Source organism: Homo sapiens, chromosome 2 (genome assembly GCF_000001405.40).
Source record: "Homo sapiens chromosome 2, GRCh38.p14 Primary Assembly".
Lineage (NCBI taxonomy): Eukaryota > Metazoa > Chordata > Mammalia > Primates > Hominidae > Homo > Homo sapiens.
Window position 1 is genome coordinate 167,989,459 of NC_000002.12, and position 27,409 is coordinate 168,016,867.

General features: G+C 39.4%; 1 protein-coding gene across 6 annotated transcripts in view; it reads right to left on the reverse strand.

The window, feature by feature from the left end:
• The window catches only part of STK39 (serine/threonine kinase 39), a 293,574-nt gene that overhangs the window by 35,437 nt on the left and 230,728 nt on the right, over nucleotides 1-27,409 (reverse strand). For all 6 annotated transcript variants that reach the window (NM_001410961.1, NM_013233.3, XM_047443944.1 and 3 more), the window contains one exon: nucleotides 23,176-23,244. In NM_001410961.1, coding sequence (NP_001397890.1) covers nucleotides 23,176-23,244 — 69 coding nt within the window. The remainder of the gene's footprint in view (nucleotides 1-23,175; nucleotides 23,245-27,409) is intronic.

A 27,409-nucleotide genomic window follows, 5' to 3' on the forward strand; every position in this document is an offset into this window, starting at 1 on the left:
GTATGCAAGAACAAGATAAATGAAATCAAGATTTTAAATAGTCAACCAATGCTGGAAGAGAGCTGGTAAATTTGGCACCTGAGGGGTCCCAGGTGAGGACAGCCAGACAGCAGTGGGTGATAGAGTTAGCAGGGCCAAGCTGATGACTTCAACTCTAAATGCAGAATAATCAAGAAATTTAAAAAGAACATTAGGTTTGTAAGTCTTCATCCCTATTTACATATCCAGAATAAGAGATGTTTTTCCTAGAAAAGTAAAAATGAAATATCACTTAGTCCAATTAAGTGTTATTTATGTTATACACATTATAGACAGGAAATTTTAAAAATTGCAGGAAATTCTGAACTAAAAAAAGAAAACACATCAATCACCCAGTAGAAGCATAGCTAAGCCAACAGTGATAAGCAGTAAAAAAAAATCATGATTAAAGTTGTCTACCCATATGCAAAAGTGAACATATTTTTAAACTTAGTAATGGTAGATTAAAATTTCCAGTTGGCATCAGAAGAGAACTTAATGTGAGCTATAACACAAGGGCTAAAACGACCAATAATAATCATCATCATCATCTTCAAATGGTTATTAGAAACTAAACTGTAAAAAAAAAAACTTCCTGACTCAACAGATAATTCAATAAGGTGAGAAAGAAGTTCATGACACAGGTAAGGAGGACAATGAGATTTTTTCACGAATCCACATTATCAAAGATGCAGCTGCCTGGGAGAAAAAAGAAGAGCAGAAAAGCCTGCAGTGGCCTGGTACCTGATACGCAGGCTCTCCTAAGACAAATGAAGGGCGCTGTTCACAACCAAATGACATTTTGGCAAGATTATGCAGAGGATTTATTTCTGGCTGGCTGGAGGTCAGTCAAATATATATTTTTTCTATTTCCAAAGAGTCAATCTGCCATAGGTCTACAGTGTGCTGTACAAACAGATATCCAATTCTTCGTTTAGCAGAAGGTGAAATTTGGCACTGTTCTGAACAAGATATTGGCATTAGGCTTATAACGAGAAATGGTGAAATAAAAATGATGAATTAATTCTTGCCTGGGTAATGTAGTAAAAAACGATTGCACATCCAGCTTCTGGTTTCTGAGACATAACTCTAGAAGACAGAAACCTCTGGAATGCCCATCCTGCTTAATCTATAAATCTGAACAGTGCAAATGCAGAACCCCAATTTTTGCTGCTAATAAACGCCAGCAATTTGATTAAAACCCAACAGGAAAAAGAACCCACATATCTTTATAATATGTACAGTGGTATGTTTTAAGTTGTCAACAATTCATTCACTCAATAATATTTATCGGATGTCTACTAGGCACTAGTCATTATTCCAGTGCTCTAGGATTCATTGGTCAACAAATTCCTGCGTACATGGAGCTTAGTCCTGTGATAGGTGAACTCTGTCTCAGCAAAGTCACTGAATGACCCACATTTCCCCAAAATTACATTTCACCAGGCATTACTAGCCACAGTGCTCAAACAGAGCCCAAAGTGGCAAAGACACACTAGGAACCTGGACTTCAATGGGATGTCACGGTAAAATGGTGTAAATAGCTTCAATTTTAGGGACAATCCAGATTACCCAGTTGGGCAAAGTAACAAACACCCGATACACGGGAATGTTTGGCAGATACAAACACTTTTCAAAGCTTGCTAGTCTGCAAAATCCTATTCATCACAAAAATGTTGTAATGGCCAACCAAGTCACTATTGAAAGCACACATGTGCTTTCTTTCAACTTACACCCTTCCCCAGTGATAGGACTGGTCATGATAAACATCTAAATCAGACTGGAAAAACTAAGCCAAGAAGAGAACATTAAGTTGTATGCCTGTGATTGTCATTAACACTGGAATACCCAGCCCTGGGCAGCACCCTGGTACTTAAAAGGGAATGGAGGGTGACCTAAGGAGTCTGCCCAAAGAGAAGAGTAAAGGCACATGAGTTAGAGCTGTAAAATGAATTTATCTGATGGGGGTGGAAGAGGTCCTAGAGTTGGGTTAATGGGAATATTCAAGAGCAATAAGGGGACATTAGGATGACACTGTAATCATCTTTGAGCAAGAACACCCTGTGATGTTACTGCTGTTTTATTATCCAGTCCTATGAATACAGTATGTAGGTCAATGCTGCAATTGTACATTTTAGGAGGGGAGCACATACTGAGTTTAGTATTAATAAGGACTATCAATAAAGTCTTAACAAATGACCAGGGAATCCATATTAGAGACTGAATATCAGCAGGAATGACCCTCACAGTTGGCGTGGAGTCAATCCTTCTGGATATATGACTTCCCCTCCCTTAGAGGAAACGGGTTAGGACTTTATATCCTAATGATCTTGTATTAAACCTTTACCAAAACTGGACAATTAGGTGTACACTGAATTCTTCTGCTGTTCCAAGGTCTTGTCTAAGGATACTGGTGATTCCAATGAGTTATCAGGAAGACAGGAATCTTTAAAAAGCTGTAGAGCCTTACATCTACAGCCTGATCGGCTTGAACAATCATATTTGTCTTTTTGCTTACAGAAATATTCTTAAACTGCTTTTATCTAGGTCTGCGGAGATGACGTGCTCTGTTTGTAGGAAGAAAACAGGATGGCACCAGTTAGCACTAATGCACTCTAAATGAGTCTGAAGTTCAAAAGTCTTCAGGGGCCTGGGAGATAACATAACTCAGTTGGAGAAGAGGGGACAGAATTTTTGCCATTCAGGATTTTATGCCAAAAATTGTTTTCAGATCTTTGGATTTTTCCAAGACAAGCCAGAACTGGATTCTTATGTCAACTCTCCCACTTGTCAATTGTTGTCAGATAATCCCCAAATTTTGTTTGTTCAGCAGCTCCCCCAACCTGCCCCCCAACAACAACAACAAAAAAACCATTTGCAGGCAAGATCAGAGCTGTAGGCCACCAGGTTGTAACCTCTGCACTATAGCAAAAACCTGAAGAAACTGTCTGGAACTGGGGTCAGAGCAGAAAGAAGGATGTGGGATGAATTATTGACTAATGTGGTTCAGAGGCTTTGTGGTAAAACTTGAAGCTCAACAAATGTCAATTTTGGTATGCCAACAGAGGAAAAGAATTCCATAGGCAAAGAGGCACTCAATTATGAGTGCCTACGTTCATTCCTTAAGAACTGTGTTAAATTAAGACTTGAGACAGAAAATATGGGCTGAAGTAATTTTAAAACTCAGTTTTTCACAATTTGAGATTTATCTTTTTAACATATTCAAACAAAAGGAGTCATGGTTTAAAGTCAAAGAAAAACCTGTAATATATAATTAAGGTTGAATTTCTGCATACCAAATATAGTTAAGAAAATGGAACAAAACAACATAATCAGCAATGAAGCACCAAGGGTACACCAACTATAAAAGACCATTTGTCTATTAAAAATAAACACATATAGCATACATAATCCAAAATAAAATGCATAAACAATCTAGATTTTGCTTTCCTGTTAAGTAGGAGACACTCACCAATGACATGCATGCACCAATGAAAGCAAACTTTGGTTTCTTCTCTGCTTTAATATTCCTAGCTTTTGAAAATGGGCTGCAAATAGCACATCTCAATAGTACATTTGAAAGATATGCTACACTGCAGTGATGTAATATAAAAGCAACGTAATAAGTTTTCTGAAGAATCATCTGCACCCAGAATGAGCGATTTATGTAAGACATTTAAAAAGTTCTAAGACTATTTAATGGGAGTACTATAGAGCTGGCAGTGTGCATGCATTACAGCTGAAGCCCCACAATGGGCTCATGGAGACTCAGCCTTCCACCCCAATGTGCCTGTTCAGAGATGGGCATAAGCCAGTATGGACCAATCACAGGGGAGGAGAAGATTGTTGGGGACTTCCAAGAGAGAAACTTTCTTGCTCCTTATTAAGAATCACTAAAAGCCAAATGTGAATTAGGAAACATGCAGTTGGCCAGGTGTGGTGGCTCGTGCCTGTAATCCCAGCACTTTGGGAGGTCGAAGCGGGAGGATCGCTTGAGGCCAGGAGTTCAAGGAAACATGCAGCACTGTTTCACTGGCAGCCTTCTAAGACTATGAAGGGAATGAGCCTCAGGATAAAATCAACACTGTGGAGAGCCGGGCTAAGGGAAGGAAAGACCCCAGGTCCTGGCTGATACCACTGAGATGCTAAACAACCCTGAAACCTTCCTTTCCTTTGGATATCCAGTATGTGAGCTAAAGTCCTTGTTTAAACCATTTTGAACAGAGTTTTCTGTTACTTGTAGCTTAAACCACTCTAATTGAAAGTGCAGTTTCTCCTGGAGAATCATTCCAATTCTTCAAAATGTTAAGAGTCAAGTTTTACACCGTATGGTTTTCTGGTAGGCATTGACTGCATTCATATAAAAACATACAGAATTGGAAGAAAAGATTCTCTTTGTCTTCTTAAGTTTCATAAAATACTGTCACATACTAGGAATGATATATTCCATTTTGAAAGGGATGTTAATAGGCTAAGGGCAAATGGAGCAATTTTTATACCTGGGTCCAAGAGACATTTCAATGGAGTCTCCTTAAAGGAAAACTTTCTGGGTTTGCTCCAACCACTTTCATATGTCATTCTGGAATACAGTCTTATACCAACCAGTGAACAGTTTAAGTAATGTAAAGGAAGTACATATCGGTACCCAAGACACTACTACTGAGTTACAGAATTTTCCATTGTTATGAGTAAATAAAACCACCATCTCAAATATAATATAAACTTAATTGGTTCTTAATACAAAATTTATCTATAAGGATTGTTCCACCATCAATTACCATCTTCCTGGCTTCAAAGAAGTAGTAGTACTTCAAACTGAGTATACAGAAAATAATACTCATGATGTAGTTACCAGTGAAAAAGAAAAAAAATCAATACTACTGATTTTAATATGTATATACAATGCTACAATGCAAACATTTAAATATTATTTCATAGAATTTGTTTTTTGTGTGTGTGTGGAGGTGAAACTCATATAGCATAAAATCAACTCTTTTAAGTGAACAATTTAGTGGCATTTAGCATATTCAAAATGTTGTGCAACCACTACCTCTAGTCAGTTCTAAAAGATTTTCATCACCTAAAAGGAAAACTGTGTACCCAGTAAGCAGTCACTCCCCCATTCCCACCTCCTCCCAGCTCCCAGCAACCACAAATCTACTTTCTATCTCTATGGATTTAACCATTGTGGATATTTCATGTAAATGGAATCATATAATACGTGACCTTTTGTGTCTGGCTTCTTACACTTAGCATAATGCTTTCGAGGTTCATTTCATAGAATTTTAATAAACTTAAAAATTATGCCAGAAAGAGTTGGTTTTAGTTTTAGGGCTCCCTGGAGAGAAGTCTCCAGTACAGCTACAGAGACTCTGGATGGGCCCCAACAAAGTTAAATCCTTCAGGTCACAAAAATCAACTATATAAATACAGAATAACAGTAAATTGGGTAAGTAGAAGCCAGATGGAAAAATATTTTAAGAGGAGTTGCAAAGATGATGGGAGAGGTATTAAGCAACAATGAAATCTCAATGATGACTACATGAAGTCTACAGTATTTTACACTTTTCTATATATTTGATTTCATCATTAAAACATTTAAAATATATATATTATATATATATTTTTCTTTTGTTTTGTTTTTTGTTTTTGAGACAGAGTCTCGCTCTGTCACCCAGGCTGGAGTGCAGTGGTGCAATCTTGTCTCACTGCAACCTCTGCCTCCCGGGTTCAAGCGATTCTCCTGCCTCAGCCTGCTGAGTAGCTGGGACTACAGGCACACGACACCACACCCAGCTAATTTTTGTATTTTTAGTAGAGACGGGGTTTCACCATGTGGGCTAGGATGGTCTCGATCTCTTGACCTCGTGATGCACCTGCCTCGGCCTCCCAAAGTGCTGGGATTACAGGCGTGAGCCCCCGCGCCCAGCCAAAACATTTAAAATATTTTAAACAGGGTAAGTGATTTTCTTTAAGTTCAGAACAAAACAGTGTATCCAAAATTCCAATACAGTATTTTCATGAGGAGTCCCCAAGCTTTCAAACTCCCATACCACATCAGGAATTTGGAGTTTATACCTAAGAATGTGAGCACTGCCCATCAGAAGGATACAGAAAGAACAGAGAGTATCAAGAGAGAGAAGATGGAGGTGGTTTTAGAAACTATACTGCCACCCAAAAAGGTACATTAAGAAGAAGAGATTAAGTGTGGCTTTGGGATTAGGTATGTTCTACATCAGAGAGCAGAAATTAAAGGAGAATGGATTTAGGCTCGGTATAAAGCCCTTCCAAGCAGTAATTCAACAATGAACAGGTGTCTCTTACAAGGGGAAACTCTTTGGCACCAGAAATTGTCAGAGAGCTGGGTGACATGTGAAACTACCTCTCCTTCCCAGCCCTTTTGTCTGTTGCTGGTGCCAGCTTCATGTCCTGCAGCCCATGCAGACACATGGGGCCCAGGCTCAGAGGGTGCTGGGCTTTAATGCTCTGCTGTCACCGTATTGAAATTCTTAATTTTTGAAGAAGGGAATTTGTATTTTCATCTTGCACTGGGCCCTGCAAATTATGTAGCTGGTCCTGTTAATATGTACAGAAGAAATACTCTTATCTGATGAAGTGGGAGTGGTATTTGCTTGGGTAAAAGATACAGGCAGTTTAAGCAGGGAAAAATAAAACTGTGATACAAATAAAGCTTAAATTTAATCTTTTAAATTTACTATCCACTCTCGTGATGTAGGGCCAAGAACATTTAAAAAATCCTAGATTTAAAAAATGTCTCTATTTTCTCACAGTATCCTTCCAATATCTAACTTAGCAACAGTTTTTAATAATTTGCCTTTATCAAGATTTTCTAAAGCATCCTGGTTATTTTTTGCAGACACAACTCACTTTCTGAACTCATGTTTTATCAGTTTATTAAATGACACCATTATAAGAAGAAGTCTGTACAAACGAGTTTGTTAAACCTAGAACCTACCTGGCAGGGGCAGCCATGGGGCTATGAAGGAGGATGCACTAATGTGTCATCTCTCATAGCTTAGCGTCCAGCCCGCCCCCCAGGCATCACGGGTACATTCTACACAGGGAATTTAGAACATCACCTAATTCGGTGGGTCAAGTTCATGGTGGTTGGCTAGTCCTCTGTAGAAATAGAAGGCTTATTGCATTGTCTCCTGTCTGGATTGTCTTCTTGAGGCCTATAAGCATGGCTGCTCTTCCATGGGAAAGAAGTATGAGTTTACTTGAGGTAGTGTAGACTCCCCCTGAAACTGGTGGAGATTCTTGTTATCAAGTATCAAAGAAAGAGGTAAGTGTTTGGCAAAGAAACTAGAACTCAAAGAGGTAGATCACCGACTAAGGAACTGCAGAGCAAAGGGTGAGCCTGAGGAGGACAAGGGGATTTGCATTTCTCTCTCGGACTCTCCTCTTAGGTCTAGACTTTGAGGCTGGATGGTCCTCCCAGGCAGTAAGAGAGGGTCATTGCAGTTACTGGAAGCACGCAGAAAACTAAACCAGGAGGTAACCCTAGACTTACCTCCAGGCTCACTATAAGTGAACTATTTGGTTAGAATGATTTATCTAGTTGCCTACACCCTTCCGAGTGTCTGTATTTATTCTGTTGTTATTACACTACTTTCCAGCTCTCTTTGTGCCAGAGAAGTAATAGGAGAAGGTTTTCCCACTGCTAGTGTGGAGGTGGCAGAGGCAAACACAGTGAATCTTGTGGACTATAAGTAGGACAACAGTGGTTCAGTCATTCTTCCCTACGTGCAATTTCTACCTCCATTCTCTGCCAGGAATCTGGGTCTCACTGTATTTGGGGAAACTGCAGGGTGGCTTTATATTCTCTGACTGATACGGTATTTTGTAAAAGAAGCTTGATGTTTGATAGGAGGCCAGGTGAATTGATTTCAAAAGGGAAAGAGGGAAGAACTACCCCTTACTGAGTGCCTCCTGGAGGCCAGGCATCCTGCTAACCCCTTCATGTAATCCAGTAATTCTCATAACCATTCCATGAGTTAAGTGGGTCACTCTAGGGTAAGGAAGAAATTGAAGGCCTAGAGAGATGAACTAACTTCCCCAAGTCACATATCTTCACTGACAGAGCTGGGATTTGAACCTGCAGCCATCTGATTTTAAAACCTGTGTTCCTTCCCTACATCACATAGCTCTACAGCAGTTTCAGATCCTAAAAGTCTAAGAAATAAGATGGGGATATTTTTAAAAGCTAATAACAAAAAGTAATATACAATATGGAGAGTCATACAGCTCCTCAAAAGAGACACATAAAAACTGATTTTACTAACATTCATCCATAACCAACCAATCTGAAAACAGTGATTTAAAGAATTGTGGGGGATGGTATTTAATGGCGACTACAGTGCTGTATGAAAATTTCTACGCCATGAGACACAGAAAAACCGATTTTACTAAAATTCAACCATAACCAACCAATCTGAAACCAGCAATTTAACGAATTGTGGGGGATGTTATTTAATGGAGGCTATACAGTGCTGTATAATAATTTCTATGTCATTCTATGTTTTTGTTACCTCTACTCCTCAAAAGATTGGAAAGCTCTTTCCCTTAAAAGAAAGTATTACATAAAGAATAAACCCAATTAAAGGGAAGGTTAAAAAAAAATAAAGGAATGACCAGAACTATCAGATGGCTTTACCAATGCATAAACACTCCCACTCCAGAAAGCACCACTGTGGGAAAACACTGCCCCAGCCCTCTATCCGGTTCACCCGGACAAAGGTTAGCTAAACAAGAACTTACTTTACTGCACCTGCATTCTGAACATGAAACCACTTAAATGCTCACTTTAATTTAGATAATTAGAGTGTTAGTCCCTGAAAAAATATTCACTAAATTCGACTGCAATTAATGGACTTGAAATGGCAGGTTTGCTTTAGCCCAATGAACATGAATATTTTACGTATTCTGTACTCTATTATAATGATAATAGTTCTACTTTGTATGTAGTGCTACCTTAGCCCACACCATAATTTGTGTGAGAATAAGGCAATATTATGAAATGGAAATATATTTCATCTGTTTTGGGAATGTACATGAAGTGAAGGCCCTTTGGTTACCAATTAATATAAAGAAGATGCCCGTGATTAATGCCTAAGTTGGTGTTTTTTGTTTGTTTGTTTGTTTGTTTTGCCTTTTCTAGGAATCCTAATTTCCTTTTGATAAAATAATTGGATTCAGAATTACTGGAAGGTATCTCTGCAGTCCTCCTGGCCCCCAAACATTAAATTACAAATCGCTTTTCAATGTCCTTTGCACATAAATGAACCCAGAACACTGGGACATCATCTCAGCTTTTATTTCTCAAGTCCTCCAGGATGATTTGCTTGTCTATCTGTGGTTCCTACTCACCTCAGTCAAACGAAAATCAAATTCAGGCAGCAAAGGAGTCTAATGAAACGCGTCTGAAGGAAAGCATTTATTTGCCCTCTTGGAGAGGAAAAAGGCTAGAGAGGCACAAGATTTATACTTTAACTACAAAGGGACCCAATCGAGTTGAAACACTAGGATTCAGTTTTCGCAAGTCATTATGGCTAATGGCTCTTTACAAGGTCCTTTGTGATCTGGCCCCTGCCCCCTCCCCATCCTTATTCCCAATCCCACCTCCTCATTTGCCTGTTCTGGCCATACTGGTCAGCTTTTACAAAATCCATTATTTCTACACATGCCTATCTACGACTTCACTCAAATGTCTCCCTCAGAGGGGCTTCCCCTGCTCTTGAATTAGATGAAGACCCCATGTTTTTTCATTATTGTCTTTTTTTATAGCACATCATTTTTCCTTCAGAATGCTTCTCACAATTTGTAATTTCACTGACACCTGTGTACTGACTTGTCTAAGGTCTGCCTCTCGAGTTGGACTGCAAGCTTCTTGAGGGCAAGGACCCTGTTTTGTTAATCAGGTGTACTCAGCACCACAGTAGATGAGATGCTTTATTTATTTTATTTTATTTTTATCTTTTTTGAGATGGAGTCTCACTCTGTGGCCCAGGCTGGGGTGCAGTGGTGCTATCTCGGCTCATTGCAAGCTCTGCCTCCTGGGTTCACGCCATTCTCCTGACTCAGCCTCCCGAGTAGCTGGAACTACAGGCGCCTGACACCACGCCCGGCTAATTTTTTTGTATTTTTAGCAGAGATGGGGTTTCACCATGTTAGCCAGGATGGTCTCGATTTCCTGACCTCATGATCCACCCACCTCGGCCTCCCAAAGTGCTGGGATTACAGGCATGAACCACTGCGCCCGGCCCGAGATGCTTGCTTTATTTATTGAATGAATGAATGAAGTACAGTTGCTTAAGGGCCTGGATGACAAAGAGTGGTAGAAGGCTCCTCCCGCTACTTCTGCATGGAAGCAGGTACCACTCTGGCCCCACATAGGTAGTGCCCTGTGACCTTCTGGAAGCAGCACTCCCCTTGTGGGCACTGGTGTCCTCATACTGGCTGGTGATACAGGTGAGGCTTCTTCAAGCAGTCTTTTGGGCAGGGAGCTAGTGAGACCACCACATGGTAACCAGCACTGAGAAAGTCATTTAAGGACCCCTGGGACATCCCTTTGGGGACTCCCAATAATATCCCAGGGAAATACGTGTTATTACTGGCTAATCACTATTTAGCCTGCAAACAGGTGAATTGCATGGATATTTCAGATTATGCCTATAAGATTAAACTTACATTTAATTATTGCTAATTGAACACCTAAAGCCACTGTTCAGAGTTATTCTAAGTGCAGAGTTCTATATTTCTGACATAAAAAGTTCATCATGAAAAAAATATCAAAAATTAATTTCTCATACTCATTCCTTGTCTAATAAAAATTTTCATGAGCACTAAAGAAAAGAGCCAACTTTTCTTTTTCTTTTTAAAAGAAATCCTGAGAGCTCCAGCAAGCCTACAGTGCCTGAGGCTGAGAAGCCCATTAGAATAACCGATAGCATTTTTATGCTTCCCCGGAGTAATGCTGTCCAAATCATGTCCTCTAACCTGTATTCTACCTTTCTATTAGACACTGAGTTCCCCTTGTATGTCACTCTCATCTTATTACTCAATACCATGAACAAATACAAGAATTAGAGGCAAAATAGTTAGAAGGATATGTGAGGAATTGATAGTCAACCCTGAAAGGAAAGTCAGGGCAGTGGTTGAGAAATTCAGATGTCCTTTCTTGTCCTTCTGACCCTACATATCGCAGAAAGACAAGAAAGTGCAGAGCTCTGACAGCACGATCTTGACCCCAGATCTATTCAGCCAATGAAGAAATGAGCCATGAACGTGACTTTCTAAAAATCCAGTCAACAATCACAAACTGGTAAGGAGTCTCAGAAACTGTAATAAATTAGCCCTCCAAGGGGTGTATTACTGAAAAGATGCTTTGAATCTGATGGTCTGATTTTGAGTAACAAACCTCTCATCGCTGACCAAATTCTACAAGGATAAAGATTAAGGCATTAAATCCATTTCTCAAGTTTAATGGACAGCTCCCTCTTTACTTGTGTCAGAAGGGTACACTGGCCAGGCCCATGCGTTTGCACCTAAAGCTGTTCAGATGGTTTCCTGACTATGAATTCCTGCTATCTGGTTCTATAGCTCAGCAGACACAGAATCTGGCAAGAAAATTTTCTTTTATGGAATGGTTACCGTGGGTTATGCAGTATAGTGGGTGATTCTGAAAAACATTAGCCCAAGAACAAAATTGGAAAATATCACATGTATCCCCCAAATATGTGCAACTATGATGTATCAATTTGGAAACACATCAAAAAAAAAAAAAAAACAACAACAAAGGAACAAAATTGGGCACAAACGTTGATGATACAATGGGGACAGCATAAACCTGATGACAAGGACAAGTTTCTAAATCTATCGGCAGGTGACCAGTCCAGATCTCTCGTTTTAAAATGAATCTGGGGTACATGTATTTTTACACAACCTTTTGGATGCTAAACTTAAGTAGTGCAAGATTAAGAACTAGGCTTTCTTAGGATTGGCAAGAAAGTCCTCTTTTTTTAAAAAAAAAAATGATAACCTAATATAAGATGCAGGATCAAATTTAAGATTATAATTAGATATGGAGCCAAAATAGTGATTATAAGCCCACAATGAATAAAAAATATATGGATTTAGTTTTCTTCCTTAACTTTCAAATTTTTTTGATTGAGCAAACAAGGAGCGGTATTACCTGTTATATAAGAAATCATGAGGCAGTGACTTCTCTTTTATTTTAACCAATGAAGTAAAAAAACAGCAGAGAGATTTCATCTGGGACTGGGAGACTTGCCTGTCAGGCTATTAACAAGTAGACTGTTCAACAAAAGAGCCATTTAATTTAAATCCTACACACTTGGTAATGTTAGAAAAATGTAAGTCATCACAAAGACTAGGTTTCCTGCACCAAAGTAAGCCTACTTTACTTCCACTAGAAATATATTTTTGTCTTAAGTAGGGACTGATCAGAAAGTGTGGCGAGACTGAGTGTAATCTGCAAGCATATTTGATTCTGGAGTTAAAGGACAGATTAACATAAATTAAAACAAGGCAATCTAAAGTAATTGAAAAAAGCAAGACTCTACTGACTTAGTAGATATCTACAACTAATCCACTGGCAAGCTCTTGTTTCACCCAAGTGAAGTTAAGTACAGGTCTTAATTGGATTCTATCTCTGTACTAATGGTTTTAAAGAGGATATACAACTCCTAACTAAATACAAAGTAACAAAGTTAATTAGAAAATCAGGGCTTACAGTGTGGTTTACTGCTGCAATGAGTCATAATCATGTGACACAGAAACTGAGAACGTCTTTGGGGAAATTACAGATGTTATTTTATGCTAGAACTTCTTGGAAATAACATTTGCCCACATTTTGAAAGGTGGTTTTCAAACACTCCTTTTCCCCATCCCCAAATCGGAAGTTCTTTACAAATGACAGGTCTACCAACATTTCCCTGGAGAGCTGGTCATTCTATGTTAGAATCTGCAGACAGATAAGCACAGGGAGTGGCTGGGCTGGCAGAGGATTCAATCCTATGAATGGACATCACAGCTTAAGCTTCTGATTTAGTTTTCTAGGAATTCTTTTTTTTCTAGGAATTCTTTCCTCCGCTTAATTCCTCTGAGTTTGGCGCAGAGGAGTATGGGCACTCTCTTGTGCTTTTATCAGATTTAAAAAATGATATTCTGTCAAAGCAAGAATTCTATGCATTTTACTTTAGTCTGTCTTTCTTAAATAAATTGTTCTTAAATAACTTCAAAAAATATATGTAACCCTTAGGTGTGTGATCAAACTAATGCTGAATCTGTGTGCTCTGTCTGTGCTTACGTTTGTGTTCGTGTGTGTGTGCACGTGTGCTCTCACTGCACATTCATTTGGGCCTGGTTTCCCAGCACTCTGCAGAGCAAACAGCTCTTTGGATGTTTAAAGCAACACTGTGATTCTACCACCTCTCAAGAGTTCAATTGCTGAATATCTTTATTTATTTATTTTTATTTTTTTGAGATGGAGTCTCGCTCTGTCGCCCAGGCTGGAGGGCAGTGGCACAATCTTGGCTCACTGCAACCTCCGCCTCCTGGGTTGAAACGATTCTCCTGCCTCAGCCCCCTGAGTAGCTGGGATTACAGGCACACACCACCAGCTAATTTTTGTATTTTTAGTAGTGATGGGGTTTCACCATGTTGGTCAGGCTGGTCTTGAACTCCTGACCTCATGATCCGCCTGCCTTGGGCTCCCAAAGTGCTGGGATTACAGGCTTGAGCCACCACGCCTGGCCCAACTGCTGAATATCTTAATTCATCTAGAAATGGTAGTCATTCATCTGAATGGAATTAGAATTATTTTACAACACGGATGATACTTTTATATTAGATAGTCCAGCCTATCATTTGTGAATATTTAAAACATAATTTTGCCAGCTTTTAATATTAATGTCCAATTTTTCTATTTAGGGAATAAATATTATACCTCAGTAAAGATTTTTTTTAAAGAAAGAAAAGATAATTGGGAAACCAGGAGCAATGAGTTACAATCAAATAGGCTGCAGTGCCTTTTTGAAAACAGAAACCCTACGTCATATCTAACAGGTCAACATTTATTTCTGGTAAAAATATATAAGAAAAGTAATCAGCACAGCACCCCCAAAGTACTTATAGTCCTAATTCCCTAAGGTATTAAACTTAACACATAGACAACTTTTAATCAGGAATCACTCAGCTGTATTTATTGACATAATTCAACTAACCACAAGCCTGTCTAAACCCAGAAAGGGCTTAAGGAGTTTTCTTCCTTTATTCCCTGTCACCATTTCAAAATCATAGTACAGTTGTGTAATAAAGACACTATTTTAATAATGAATGCTTTTCTTCACTGAAAGTCAATATCAGTGAATATCACAGCATAATCACTGAAATGAATATGAGATGAAATATGTTCACTGTTTTCCAAGACTTTCATCGTAAAAGTGTACTGCTGCTCAGTAAATTGTGGATCACTCATAACAGACTTAAATATCCCTGACTGTAGCAGAAAGAACAGAGCACTTCGCACATCTAACCATATGCTCATGACTGAGCAGAGAGATTTTGTTGCTCCCATACTTGAGAGCCTAAGCGTACTTTGCCATTTTGTAGAGAAATAAAAGCTGAAGGCCATCTGGAGGATCCACTGCCTCCTGAGCAGCAATGTTAGTTTTAATCAAAACTGTAACTACTCATTTTGGTAAAAATTTATACCAATGCCATATATGTGGCATCTACACCATTCATACACATAAACACAATTTTTAAAAGTTAACTGGCACAGTTTTAAAACAGACTCCTAAAGACAGCAGAGAATCAAGTAAGGCAGAAAAGCAAAGGAGATTAGTGAGACTGGGAAAAAGGTATAGATGATGAAATGAGCTGAAGGCATCTCCAAAGATTATTATAAGCATAAAATAAAGTGACTATGGGCTGGGCGCGTTGGCTCACACCTGTAATCCCAGCACTTTGGGAGGCCGAGGCAGGCGGATCATGAGGTCAGGAGATCGAGACCATTCTGGGTAACAGGGCGAAACCCCGTCTCTACTAAAAATACAAAAAAATTAGCCTGACATGGTGGTGGGTGCCTGTAGTCCCAGCTACTTGGGAGGCTGAGGCAGGAGAATGGTGTGAACCTGGGAGGTGGAGCTTGCAGTCAGCCGAGATTGCACCATTGCACTCTAGCCTGGGTGACAGAGTGAGACTCCATCTCAAAAAAAAAAAAAAAAAATTAAAATATAAAAGATAAAGTGACTATGAAATTCCAGTGTGTATGAGAATCACTTGGGATACCTGTTGAAAACACAAATTTCCACACTCTATGCCCAAAAGACAGCTGATGCTATATTTCTGGGCTGGAACCCAGAAACGTGCATTTTTAATAAGCATCCCAGATAAGACAGGCATCTCACAGCTCATACTTTGAGAGACACTCAGAATACTTAACCTTAGCAAGCACTAGGGGACAGAAGGCCCTCTTTTTTTTTTTTTTTTTTTTTTTTTTGAGACAGAGTCTCGCTCTGTCGCCCAGGCTGGAGTGCAGCGGCGCGATCTCAGCTCACTGCAACCTCTGCCTCCCAGGTTCAAGCAATTCTCCTGCCTCAGCCTCCTGAGTAGCTGGGATTACAGGTGTGCCCTACCAGATGCAGCTAATTTTTGTATTTTCAGTAGAGACAAAGTTTCTCCATGTTGGCCTGGCTGGTCTCAAACTCCTGACATCAAGTGATCTACTTGCCTCAGCCTCACAGAGTGCTAGGATTACAGGTGTGAGCTACCATTCCTGGCCAGAAGGCTGTTGAGACAAACCATATTCCTTTCCCAAGAGACCAGACTCAAAAGTCATGTGACAATTCTATTTCTGAGAGAAAGGCAAGGAACGTGGGAAAACGCAGAGAGGAAAAAAAAAAAAATCAATCATAGTGAATTACTATTTCTTTTTTGGAAGATACAGCAATATTTACATTATCCAAATCATCAATTCATGCAATAATCCAGTACTGAATTTGCATATGGTATACAATGTATTCATTTATCCAACATATTTATTTATTAAATGCCTATGTGTGTCAACAATGGTAGGGATGCAATAAAATAGAAGACAAGCGTTGCCCTAAAGATGCCTTCAGCCTCCACACAAAGGAAGACAAGCACGCAGTAGTACAGCAGGATGAAAGCCATACGTCTTGAGGTGGTAAAAACATGGTTCTCTGGCATTCTAGACAAGGAAAAGCTGTCCTCCAAACTGTGCAAGGAGTGGGGTGTCAGGCAGCAGAGGAGGCTTCATGATGGTGACATGTATGGTAAGTCTTGCAGGCAGACAGGTTTTAAACATGATTCTTCATGTGCAGGAAAAGAGCATCTCATGGGGGCATGAACAATAGTCCAAAAGTCTACTGAGAGAGCTTTGGGAACATCTATCACTAAAGTAAGTTTTCCTTCCAGTGACAACTAGTCAGTGAGGCTCAAAATCCGTCAAAGGAAAACTACAGAAATGAATGCAGGCACCCAGCTCCCTTCTCAGGAAACAGAAATTCCAACATCTGGTTCTAAACTCCACTTAAAGGAAACAGACATATGTTGCTACAAAGCTAGGGAAGGGTGGTATAAAAACACAGCAAAGGGCAGTCAGTGGGCACATTTCTGAAAGGCATCTGTCAAGCAGCTTCTCTTCCGGTGTATACACACAGTCAAACCCTGGCCTCTGTATTGAGCCGTGCAGATTGAAGTTCAGCAGCTTTGTAGGAGTCGGTAAGCAGGCCACATAACTGCTTAGCCTAACATACCCACTGGTGTTCCTTCTTCTATAGCTGAGGTTCTAAAACTTACTAAACTAATTCCTCAAAAATTTATATCACAAAGTCTGGAGAGAACTTAGACCTTTTGTTTTCTTTTGTACATATGAATTTTGTGTTTTGCATTTTTCCCCCGTGCTTCCATTGCAGAGAAAACTTATTTCTTGCCGGCTGTTTTTTCACCAGAAAGCAAAGGAAACAAGGAGTTTCTCTGCTGTCTCACTATCACTCATCCTTGGGAATCCTCTGAAACAACTAGAATAGGGACTCAGATTTGGTCTCTTTCCATTTGTCAGCCAACCCAGCCAGGCAAGATAAGCAAATTTATGCATGCATGTCCTCTAGTTTTTCATCTTGCAAACTTTTTTAAACCAACACCCACCCGCGAGGCCTTGCCAATCTTATCAACGGCTATTTACACAAAGCCTAAAAATGTTTCCTGTTTCTTGCCTAAGGTAGTGCCGAGTTTAAGCACAAGTCAAGTGGGTTTATGATTTCAGTCTACAAACAGCACATTTCATTTCTGCACTGCTCTGCTTCTGCTCGAAAGCAATCACTTCATGTCACTATACTGGCCCTTCTTCAATCCAGATTCTGATTCGCGAAGGTCGGCACACTAAAAGCAGGCTACCCTGAAGCTAGGTATTGAAGACTTTTTGTAACCTGTGTTTGCCATATTCTAGTAAAACTGATAACATTCACTGCTCCATAACATATGCTATTGCTTTTTCAGCCTTTCACAATGCTGTAAGCATTTACTCCAATTCAAAAGAAAATGCTGATGGGAAAGAAACAGATTTTTAATCTATTTAAATGTTAGCTATTTTATATTATAGAAGCAGAAAAAATACACATGTAAGAAATCATTCAAACCTCTATATAAACTGGACTCTTTCTTTACACAGCTTTCCTCAGGTGAACTTATTTCATATTTGCAAACACTTTGAATTTTGCAATCTTGAAAGCAAAATTCTTAAAACACTAGAATCCTATATCTCAAAGTATCCTTTGTTTCTAAAGTAAATGTTACGATATATCTATATATATCAAAATGGGATTTGTTTATCTCTAACAAATGTTTATGGAGGGCCTACTATGTGAAATGCAGTTTGGGGCACTGGGAATGTGGCAATTAACAAAACAGATTAAAAATCCTGGCCTTAAAAAACTGATGCTCAAGGGGAAGTCCTATATAGCTGACAAAATAAATAAATGAAACATACAGGCTATTGAATGGGGAGAGATTAGGTAGAATAACAAAATAAGAAAGAGGGTAGAGAGTTGGGGATGGTGTGCGATTTTAATGAGGCTGCTCAAGACCATTTTGTGAGGTAATATTTAAGCACCAGGGGGTGGGCATATATGGCCCTAAAGAAGGAGTGTCCTGGAAGAAGAGCAAGTTCAACAGCCGGGGTGGCTGGGGTGGGGTGAGCAAGGGGAAGAGCAGGAGAAGAGACATCTGAGAAGTGAGAGGGGACACAGTGCAGAGGACTGGAAGCCATGGTGATTGTGGGTGGAGAACCACTGCAGAGTTTTGATTGAACTATGAACACAATCTGGCTTACTTTTAAAAAATCGAACTAAAAGTCACATATTATAAAGTTTGCCCCTTTAAAATGCACGATTCAGTGGTTTTTAGTAAAGTCACAAGGTTGTGCAGCCATTACTACTTCTAATTCCAGAACATTTTCATCACCCCAAAAAGAAACCCCATACTTAGTAGTCACTCCCCTGCCCCCTTCATTGCCAGCCCCTGGCAACCACTCTTCTGCTTTCTGACTCCATGGATTTGCCTACTCTGGACATTTCATATAAAGAATCACACCATATGTGGCCTTTTGCATCTGATTTACTTTACCTGGATCTCTGGCTGTTGAGATGAGGACAGGCTGAAGGGAGGCAAGTACAGAAGCTGGAATGGCAGCAAAGGGATGAATACAAGAACTCAACTGGGAGTTGAGAGGGGCTTGAAACGTGATGGGATGTGAGATGGTGAGCAAAGGCAGGATCCTGGGCACATTCAGATGAGTTGGATGTGAAGTATGAGAGAAAGAAAAGTCAAGGACAATGCCCAGGGTTTTGGCCTGAGCACCTGGAAAGGTGGAGATGATGCCTATGAAGAGTCTAAGATTCCTGGAGGGGCAGGCTGGGAAGAAACACCAGGGGCTGGATTTTGAAGCTGTGGATTAAATCTTGGATGTCTATTACATTTCCAAGTGAAGACGCTAAAAGGGGAGCTGAATATAAGTCTGGAATTCAAAATAAAAGTCTGGATCAAAGATATAAATTTGGGAGTTAAAGAGTGGAAGGTATTTAATACCACGAAACCTGATAAGATCAGCAAAGCAGCAAGTAGAGAAAGAGAAGAGATCTAAGGAAAGGGTCCTTGGACACATCAAGATTTATAGGTTAGAGAGATGAGGAGGAACCAACAAAAAAGACTGAGAAGGAAATACCAGTAAGATGGGAGAACTAGGAGAGGGTGGAGACTTAAAACCAAGTGAAAAAGCTTATCATGGAGAAGGGCATTGTCAACTACGCCCAATACTGCCAATAGGTCAAGCATGATAAGGACTGAGGATGAGCCTCAGGTTTAGGAACATGGCAGCCATTCACAGACCACGTGTCCTTTACCTTCCTTCTTTCTCCCCTCACTCCAGCCACGCCTACCTGTGCATCTGCCACTCCTTTTTGCAGGTGTGTTTTCCCCAGGTACAGCTTTGAAAAGAACAATTTGAGTGGAGTAGGAAGGTCAAAAGTCTGACTGAGGTGGATTTAAGAGACAGTGATAAGAAAGGAATCAAAGCCAGGGCAATTGTCTTTGATAAGTTTAGCTGTTAAGGGGTTGGACAGAAATAGCTGTAATGGGAGGTGGGGTAAAGACAGGGCTTTCTGAAGATAAGAGAAATAAAAACATATTCATATGCTGGTGGGACATATCTAGTAAAGAGGGAAATAGATGAGGAGGGAGGGAGTAGAGATTTGCTAGGATTGGTTAGAGGGAACAAGATCAAATACATTAGTTTGTCAAATAATCAGCAATTAAAATAGAAAACATCCACTGGTCCATGGAAAAACAAACAAGGAAAAGCTACTTTTCTCCCAGGGGACACAAGAACCACCAACATTTAAAATTACCTGGATCCACTTTTTAAGGGTGAAGGTATAAATTATATGCAAAGTGTCAACATTGGGGAGTCAACAAGACCCAAGCGCAAGGAACATTACCAGTTGCAACAGTCTAGATACTTCTTCGGACCTCAGTTTTCAGTCTACAACATAGTGATTAAAACAACCTGTCCTCTTTACCTTATAGAATTGATGTGATGATCAAATGAAATACATAAACATTGTCTGTAGACACTTAAGTGTGATGTCCATGTAAGGCATTTTTAAGTGCTACTATATCAAAGAGTTAGATATGCCTGTTCTTACTCCAACACTCTCTAAATAGAAATAATTTAGCTCCAAGAAGGGGAAAAAAGGCAAGCTGAAGAGTTTTTGGAAGAATAATTAACTAAAGCATAGAAAAAGAAAAGCTTTATGGTTATATATTGTATTTAAAATACACTCAATAAGTTGTACATGAAGTCTGCCTTAATTTCCTCCTTTTAAAAATTCAACAACAACAACAATAAAACCTTCCTAACTTTAGCTGAGCCTGGGGCAAAAAAAGAAGTGCATTAAACTTGACTGTAGGTCTGAAGCAAGGACTATGCTTAAAAGAAGATGTGACCTAATGCCTTTCCGTCAAGCTCTCTTATTTTCTGTGTTCCTAGCCACCTGCCAGGATCAACTCCAATAAAAGAACAATCTGATCCTTGGCTTCTTGCCCAATAGGAGACATTAGTAGGTGTTTCAAAGAAGTTTTTGATTATTATTTTCACTTGCTGATTAATTTTCTATTCTGGATGCTTAGCATATGGACCATAGCTCTCTTCAAGGTTTGCAGGGTCTCCTGATCTAGCCATTAATTAACTGTTCTATTTCTTCTGGTAAACTAAGACACAAAAGTGTATACTTATGTTTTCTAATGAAGGAGAGTGTTCATCTTCATCAAGGAATTGGTAATTGGTAGGTGAACATAATGAATTCTTAGACAGAATTTAAAGTAGACCCCAAAGTTGAATCAATCTTTTTTCTCAGCTTCCCTCTCACATTTGATTAGAAAATTTAGGCGAGAACTTAGCTGGCCTTAAATCTCACAAGATTGTAAAGGAAAATGTGAAAGACAAGATATATAAGGGAATACAACTCACTCCACATAAATGCACGTTAAGTCACTTTCCTTTAAAATATGTCTGTGTCCCCTCATGTATGGAGCCACTTGGCAAAGGAGTTGGAGCTTCATTGTGAAATCAATGTGTAGAGTTAATGTATAATCAGTAGGAAAAAATCTGTTTTTTTCTAATTATAAAGGTATCTTTGTATCTGCATTTATGATATATCATTTGTATGTAAATAACATACTGGATATTATGTCTTTAGTCAGAATTCTAATCTCCCACTATAAACTCAATTACTCTTATTTACATAAAATAATTCACTTTGTAATGATTTACATTCCAAAGTTACTAGGAACAAATTATTCTGATAGGTGTGTGTATCTACCTTAAACTCCCTCTCAGTCATATACTCTAGCATTATTGGGGAAGGACTTATTTTGAATAAGTTATTTTTTAAATTAAAACATATCATTTAAGGGGCTGGGAGTGGTGGCTCACGCCTGTAATCCCAGCACTCTGGGAGGCCAAGGCAGGCGGATCACTTGAGGTCAGGAGTTCGAAACCAGCCTGGCCAACATGGCAAAACCCTGTCTCTACTAAAAATACAAAAATTAGCCAGGCACGGTGGCATGCGTCTGTAGTCCCAAGCTATTTGGGAGGCTGAGGCACGAGAATTGCTTGGACACGGGAGGCGGAGGTTGCAGTGGGCCGAGATTACACCACTGCACTCCAGCCTGGGTGACAGAGTGAGACCCTGTCTCAAAAAAAACAAAACCAAAACCAAACATAAACCATATCATTTAAGGGGAGCATGTCATTTCAAAAATCAGTTTTGATTTGAATATTTTAATAAGGCATTATCATAATATATATTCCCCTAAGTAATACATTATTAGAGTTAATATAATTAATAATTAACATAATTATGAATATGCTAACTAATCTTGATTAGTTAGGGTTATTATGATTATACAGTAATACATCATAAAATCTCTATAAAGTCAGAATTTGCTGAAGAGCATGGAGCTATTCATCCTCACCCTAGGTGGAACCAGGCTACACATTTTCTCAGATGGCTATGTCTGCCTCTTAGAGCTTTTCTGCCTCCTTTGCTTTGTCAGGAGGTCTATGGGTGGTTGCTTGCTCCCATCAGCAGGCCTATGTTGAGCAGGCTCCCCTATCTCCGTGCAGCTATCTTATGATTCTAAAGGAGGTAGAAAGACCCACAGTTTCAAAGTGAAATTCTTCTGCCACAACCCAGCTGCATGGTTCTAGACACACCACTGAACCTCTTAAGGAATTCATTTCCTTATCTATACAGTGAAAGAACCGGCCTGAATGATCTTTAAGTTCCCATCCAAACCTGAGATTTTATAATGAATATTGCTGAGGGCTGAAAAAACGAATTCTAAGTTTATTAGAACTGTGTCCAAAAAGAGAATATAGAAACTCTGAGTAAGGGTCTCAGAGGTTCCCATGCTTTAGTGCACAGAATTGATAGCATCTTATTTTTGTTACATCATGGACTTTTGGGTCTTCTAAGTTCTTTGTTATATTTCCAATAAATGAGGCTCCTCATTGGATAAATCATGTCCAGATATATGAGACAGGATTACATTAAGAGCTTTTGAAAAAAAGAAAATTAAATATGATTTTTTTTTTTTGAGCCGTAGTTTCACTTTTGTTGTGCAATGGCGTGATCTCGGCTCACTGCAACCTCAGCCTCCCAGGTTCAAGCGATTCTCCTGCCTCAGCTTCTCGAGTAGTTGAGATTACGGGCGTACACCACCCATGCCTGGTTAATTTTGTATTTTTAGTAGAGGCAGGGTTTCACCAAATAGGCCATGCTGGCCTCTAACTCCTGACCTCAGGTGGTCCACCCACCTTGGCCTCCCAAAGTGCTGGGATTATAGGCATGAGTCATGGCGCCCGTCCAAATATGATTCTTAAATATACTTCTACATAAAAGATAAGAATTCAAGAAGAATTCTTCAAATATTCAGAGTGAATTATTCCTTAATGAACACTTTTGCTTCCAAACACATTTCCATTTTATATACCAACAAAATGACAGTGCATACTAAAAAACAATTTACCTATAACTACATCGTGACCATCCACCAAGCCAGCAGAGAAGAGCTCCTGAGATACACCATCTGCTGTATCTGTCCAAATGTGAAATGAATATGTATTAGTAACCATAACATAAAAATCAACAACCCAGTACAATGTAAAATATATATTTTTCATTTACTAAAATCGCCCATGAGTTTTAATTCAACAATTCAGACTCTATCAGGAGAAAATCAGAAGCAACATGAAATACATTTTGCCACGTGCCATTTGCATCTTGCTATTTATTCAACAGAAGTTATGCAAAATTATTTTTTCTATTTTTGGCGAACTAAAAAACTTGTGCCCTCTGGCTACTATCTGAATTAATCTTCAAATGCACCTCCAGAAGTTATAACTGTTCCCTATGACACTGCTTTTCTTTCCTGCCAAGGTTAATCCCACCTACCATCATCAATCCTTTTTTATCATTAGTAGCTATGGAGTGAATTACAGCAAAGGTTGAATGGGTAGCATCTGATATAACCTTGTATTTTGTACAAACAGCCTATGAGCTTGTTGGACTATTAAGATGAGCAATTTAAATGTATGCTATTAAGAAACTCCTTTAACATGACACTGATCATTTGATAGCAACAGATACATTGTCTTAGAAAAATGTGGTTGAATAAAATACCGTACTTTCTCAATGATAAGTGACAGGAGTTCGCAATCTCATAAGGATGGGACTAAAGAGGCTGCGGCAAGTGAATACAGCTGGAATTACTTAATTGAAAGGTTACGAATGAACATGATCACACTAATCTTCTATCTGAAGGCTTTGTAAAGGGAAATTGATAAATTGCAAGTTGCTCAGAAGAACTGTTATAAGCCCCCACGTTTTTACAAGGGAGCTGACTCGGTTCAAGAGAGCTGACTTGGTCCCCAGGGACTTCAGATATTCTCACAAATATTTAGAATTGTAGCTTGATAAGAAGAAACTGGCTCAGCAGGCTGTAACACTCTAGACGGGGGTTTGACAGAAATGTCTTCCAAAGTCAGGGGGCACCTGAAAGTACAGCTGCTAAATCAAATGAGCATCTAAACGAAATTGCGGTTTGTGACACCAAAAGCTGCCCTAACCATAAACTGCATTTCCTTATTTCATCTGTGCTTCAGATGTGGTGACTATGTAAGTGGGCTGGTGTGTGTGTGTGTGTGTGTGTGTGTGTGTGTGTGTGTGTGTATGTGTTTGCATATGTGCATATACATGTGAGTGTGCAGCTGGAGGTACATTTCTGTTTCACAATTCTTGAGGTTTAAAGAGCTTGCCCAGTGTCTGACACATAGTAAATACTCAATAAATGGTAACTATGATGATGATGCAGCAGCCAAAGATCATTTGAAACACACCTTACACTTTATACTTCCAGAGAAACTGTGGTATTCTGCCATTTTACTGATTCCATTTCATAATGAAGTCATAATAAAATGGAATAAAATGAAGTAAATGGCAAATAAATATATAGGAATCTTACTAAACTATAAAGTTCCATGTAAGATGAGCTTGTCTTAGGCTTTGCCCTTTTTGCCAGCAGTACAAAAAACACCTTGGCCCAGTGCAATGGCTCATATCTGTAATTCCAGCACTTTAGGAGGCCAAGGCAAGATGACTGCTTGAGCCCAGGAGTTACAGACCAGTCTGGGCAACATAGGGAGACGCCATCTCTACAAAGCGTAAAAAATTAGCTGGGCCTGGTGGCATGTACCTCTGGTCCCAGCTACTTGGGAGGCTGGGTGGAAGGATCACTTGAGCCTGGGAGGTCGAGGCTGCAGTGAACTCCAGTCAGGGTGACAGAGTGAAACCCTGTCTATTTTTTAAAAAAGAAAAGAAAAAAATAAAAAAAAAACACCTTATAAAGTCTCTTCATGATAAAATGATCCCATAATAATGGAAGTTGGGGTAGCATAATAAGAGGCTCTACTCTGAACATGATTTAGCTTTCTGAAGCTGCTAGAACATTCAGTCTCATAACTGGCATCTTCCTGGATGTTACCCAAATCTTTAGGGAAATAAGTGAACTGAATTAAAGAGCCTAACACCTAGTAGGCACTGAGCAGATAGCAGGTAGTCATTCATTATCTTTCTACTGATTGGTCATCTGCTGAAGCATCTGGATGTGTTACCCATCACTTCTAAAGTATCAGTAAGATCTTACACTTAAGTAAGGAGCTATAATCACAGAATGTAGCCAAAAATGAAATAATCAAAGCTGCACTGAGGGATAGCACTAAAACAGTACCAAAATGATTGACATTCCCAAATGATTAAAGCATACAGCATGTCCTTCTGTTTTCAGGACTCCTGGGCACCAGATGAGTCATACCAAAATGGCAAACAGGTACCGCTGGCTGATCCAAATGGGAAATATTCCATATCTGCGTGCGTGCCATTAGGCAATTATTTTGTATGCATGTAAGTAAGATACTAGTAATAGTTTAGAACAGAAGTGTGAAATAACTTATTTCATGTTTCATTAGTAATCTATTTTTCTTTAAGCTGTTTAACATCCCTGGTGCCTAAACAGGATAAATATTCATGTATTAATTTCTGGTTTCCAGAGCACATGGGGCACACTAAACACAAAGGGCTTGTCCTCAAGTGAGGAAAGAGAATATTTTACGTTATACATTTTGTGCCATATATATTTATTCACATGTATATACAGCACAAGCATAATGCATGTGAACTGCACACAGATTTACTGTAAGCAAAGTCTAGAATACAGACAGCATCAATAGTCACAGAGGTGCAGTGATATATGCACATCACTTCCTTTAACAATGGGCCTGTGCTCTGCCACCCAGTGAAGGCCGGCTGTCATTAGGCAGACAATGCCATGGGTTCTGTCTGTGCAACAGAAGCAGGGACTGTTAATCTAAATGCGGCAAAAGCGGCTGCCAAAGCCAGTGCCCATGGTCCAGTAATGCTGACAGGGCCATGTTACCCACAAAAGTCCTGAGCTCATATTCACTTCTTTGTTACCTCTTAAAATTAAAATTGATTTTCATTGCCATAGTCAATTTTAAACAATCAGATGAAAAGAAACAATCTTAAAATAAGAATCTGTTCTTTCTACTTGCTGTAATTGAAGCATTTATTACATAATTACTAGATTTTATCACAGCATGGCCTGGTCAATATTTTTATATTATGACAAAATAGATAGCTTTTTGACAACACTAGCTGGTGCTGTACAACTTCATAAACCAACTCTAAATTGTCAAAGATGGATACCTCCAGAAAGAAAGATCAATTAGCAAATCCATCAGGGCTTTATGTCCATTTATTTATTCAGACAAAGTCTCGCTCTGTCACCCAGGCTGGATCGCAGTGGCACAATCTTGACTCAATGCACTCTCTGCCTCCCAGGTTCAAGTGATTCTCTTGCCTCAGCCTCCCAAGTAGCTGGGACTACAGCTGTGCACCACCACACCCGGCTAGTTTTTGTATTTTTAGTAGATATGGGGTTTCACCATGTTGGCCAGGCTGATCTCACACTCCTAGCCTCAAGTGATCCACCCACCTCAGCCTCTCAAAGTGCTGGGATTACAGGTGTGAGCCACTGTGCCTGGCCTGTACATTTATTTTTAAAAGATACTTCATATTTTAGTTTAATTCAAATATACCAGGAATCCTGAAATCTTTGCATTTACAGAAGACTAGCATTCAGGGACCAATAAGCCTATGGCCAAGTATTGCCCAGGAATATTTTGTTTGGCTGGTGGCCTTTGTTCAAAAAAAAAAAAAAAAAAAAAAAAAACAACACTACTGAACATGGGTGAAATAAGATAGGAAATCCTCCAGTTTCCTGAAGTGCTCACCATTCACTTTGGCTTCTGTGGACATCTGAGTTTGTGTCTTCCTGCAGGTAATAACCGCAGAGGGGGTCAAAGGGTTTACTGATGGACCAGCTATCAAGCTAGAAAGTTCTTGTACTTCAGAGTTTTCAAAATTTTAGTAAACACTCCCCAATAGAGACTTCACGTAATCTGAGCTGAGATCACAGAAGCAAAGTATGTTACCTTTCTGTATGATCCCACTGCTGCTCAACCCTCATTAGGACTGTGGTATGCTTCTCATCACATTCACCATCATTTCCTTTAGGGCCTGCATTACCATAGCAATACTTATTTTCATGGTTGAGCTAATATATCTAACTTATATTGGTATGTATACTGTGCCGCATGTGTCACTGAGATTCATGTAGTCAGCTG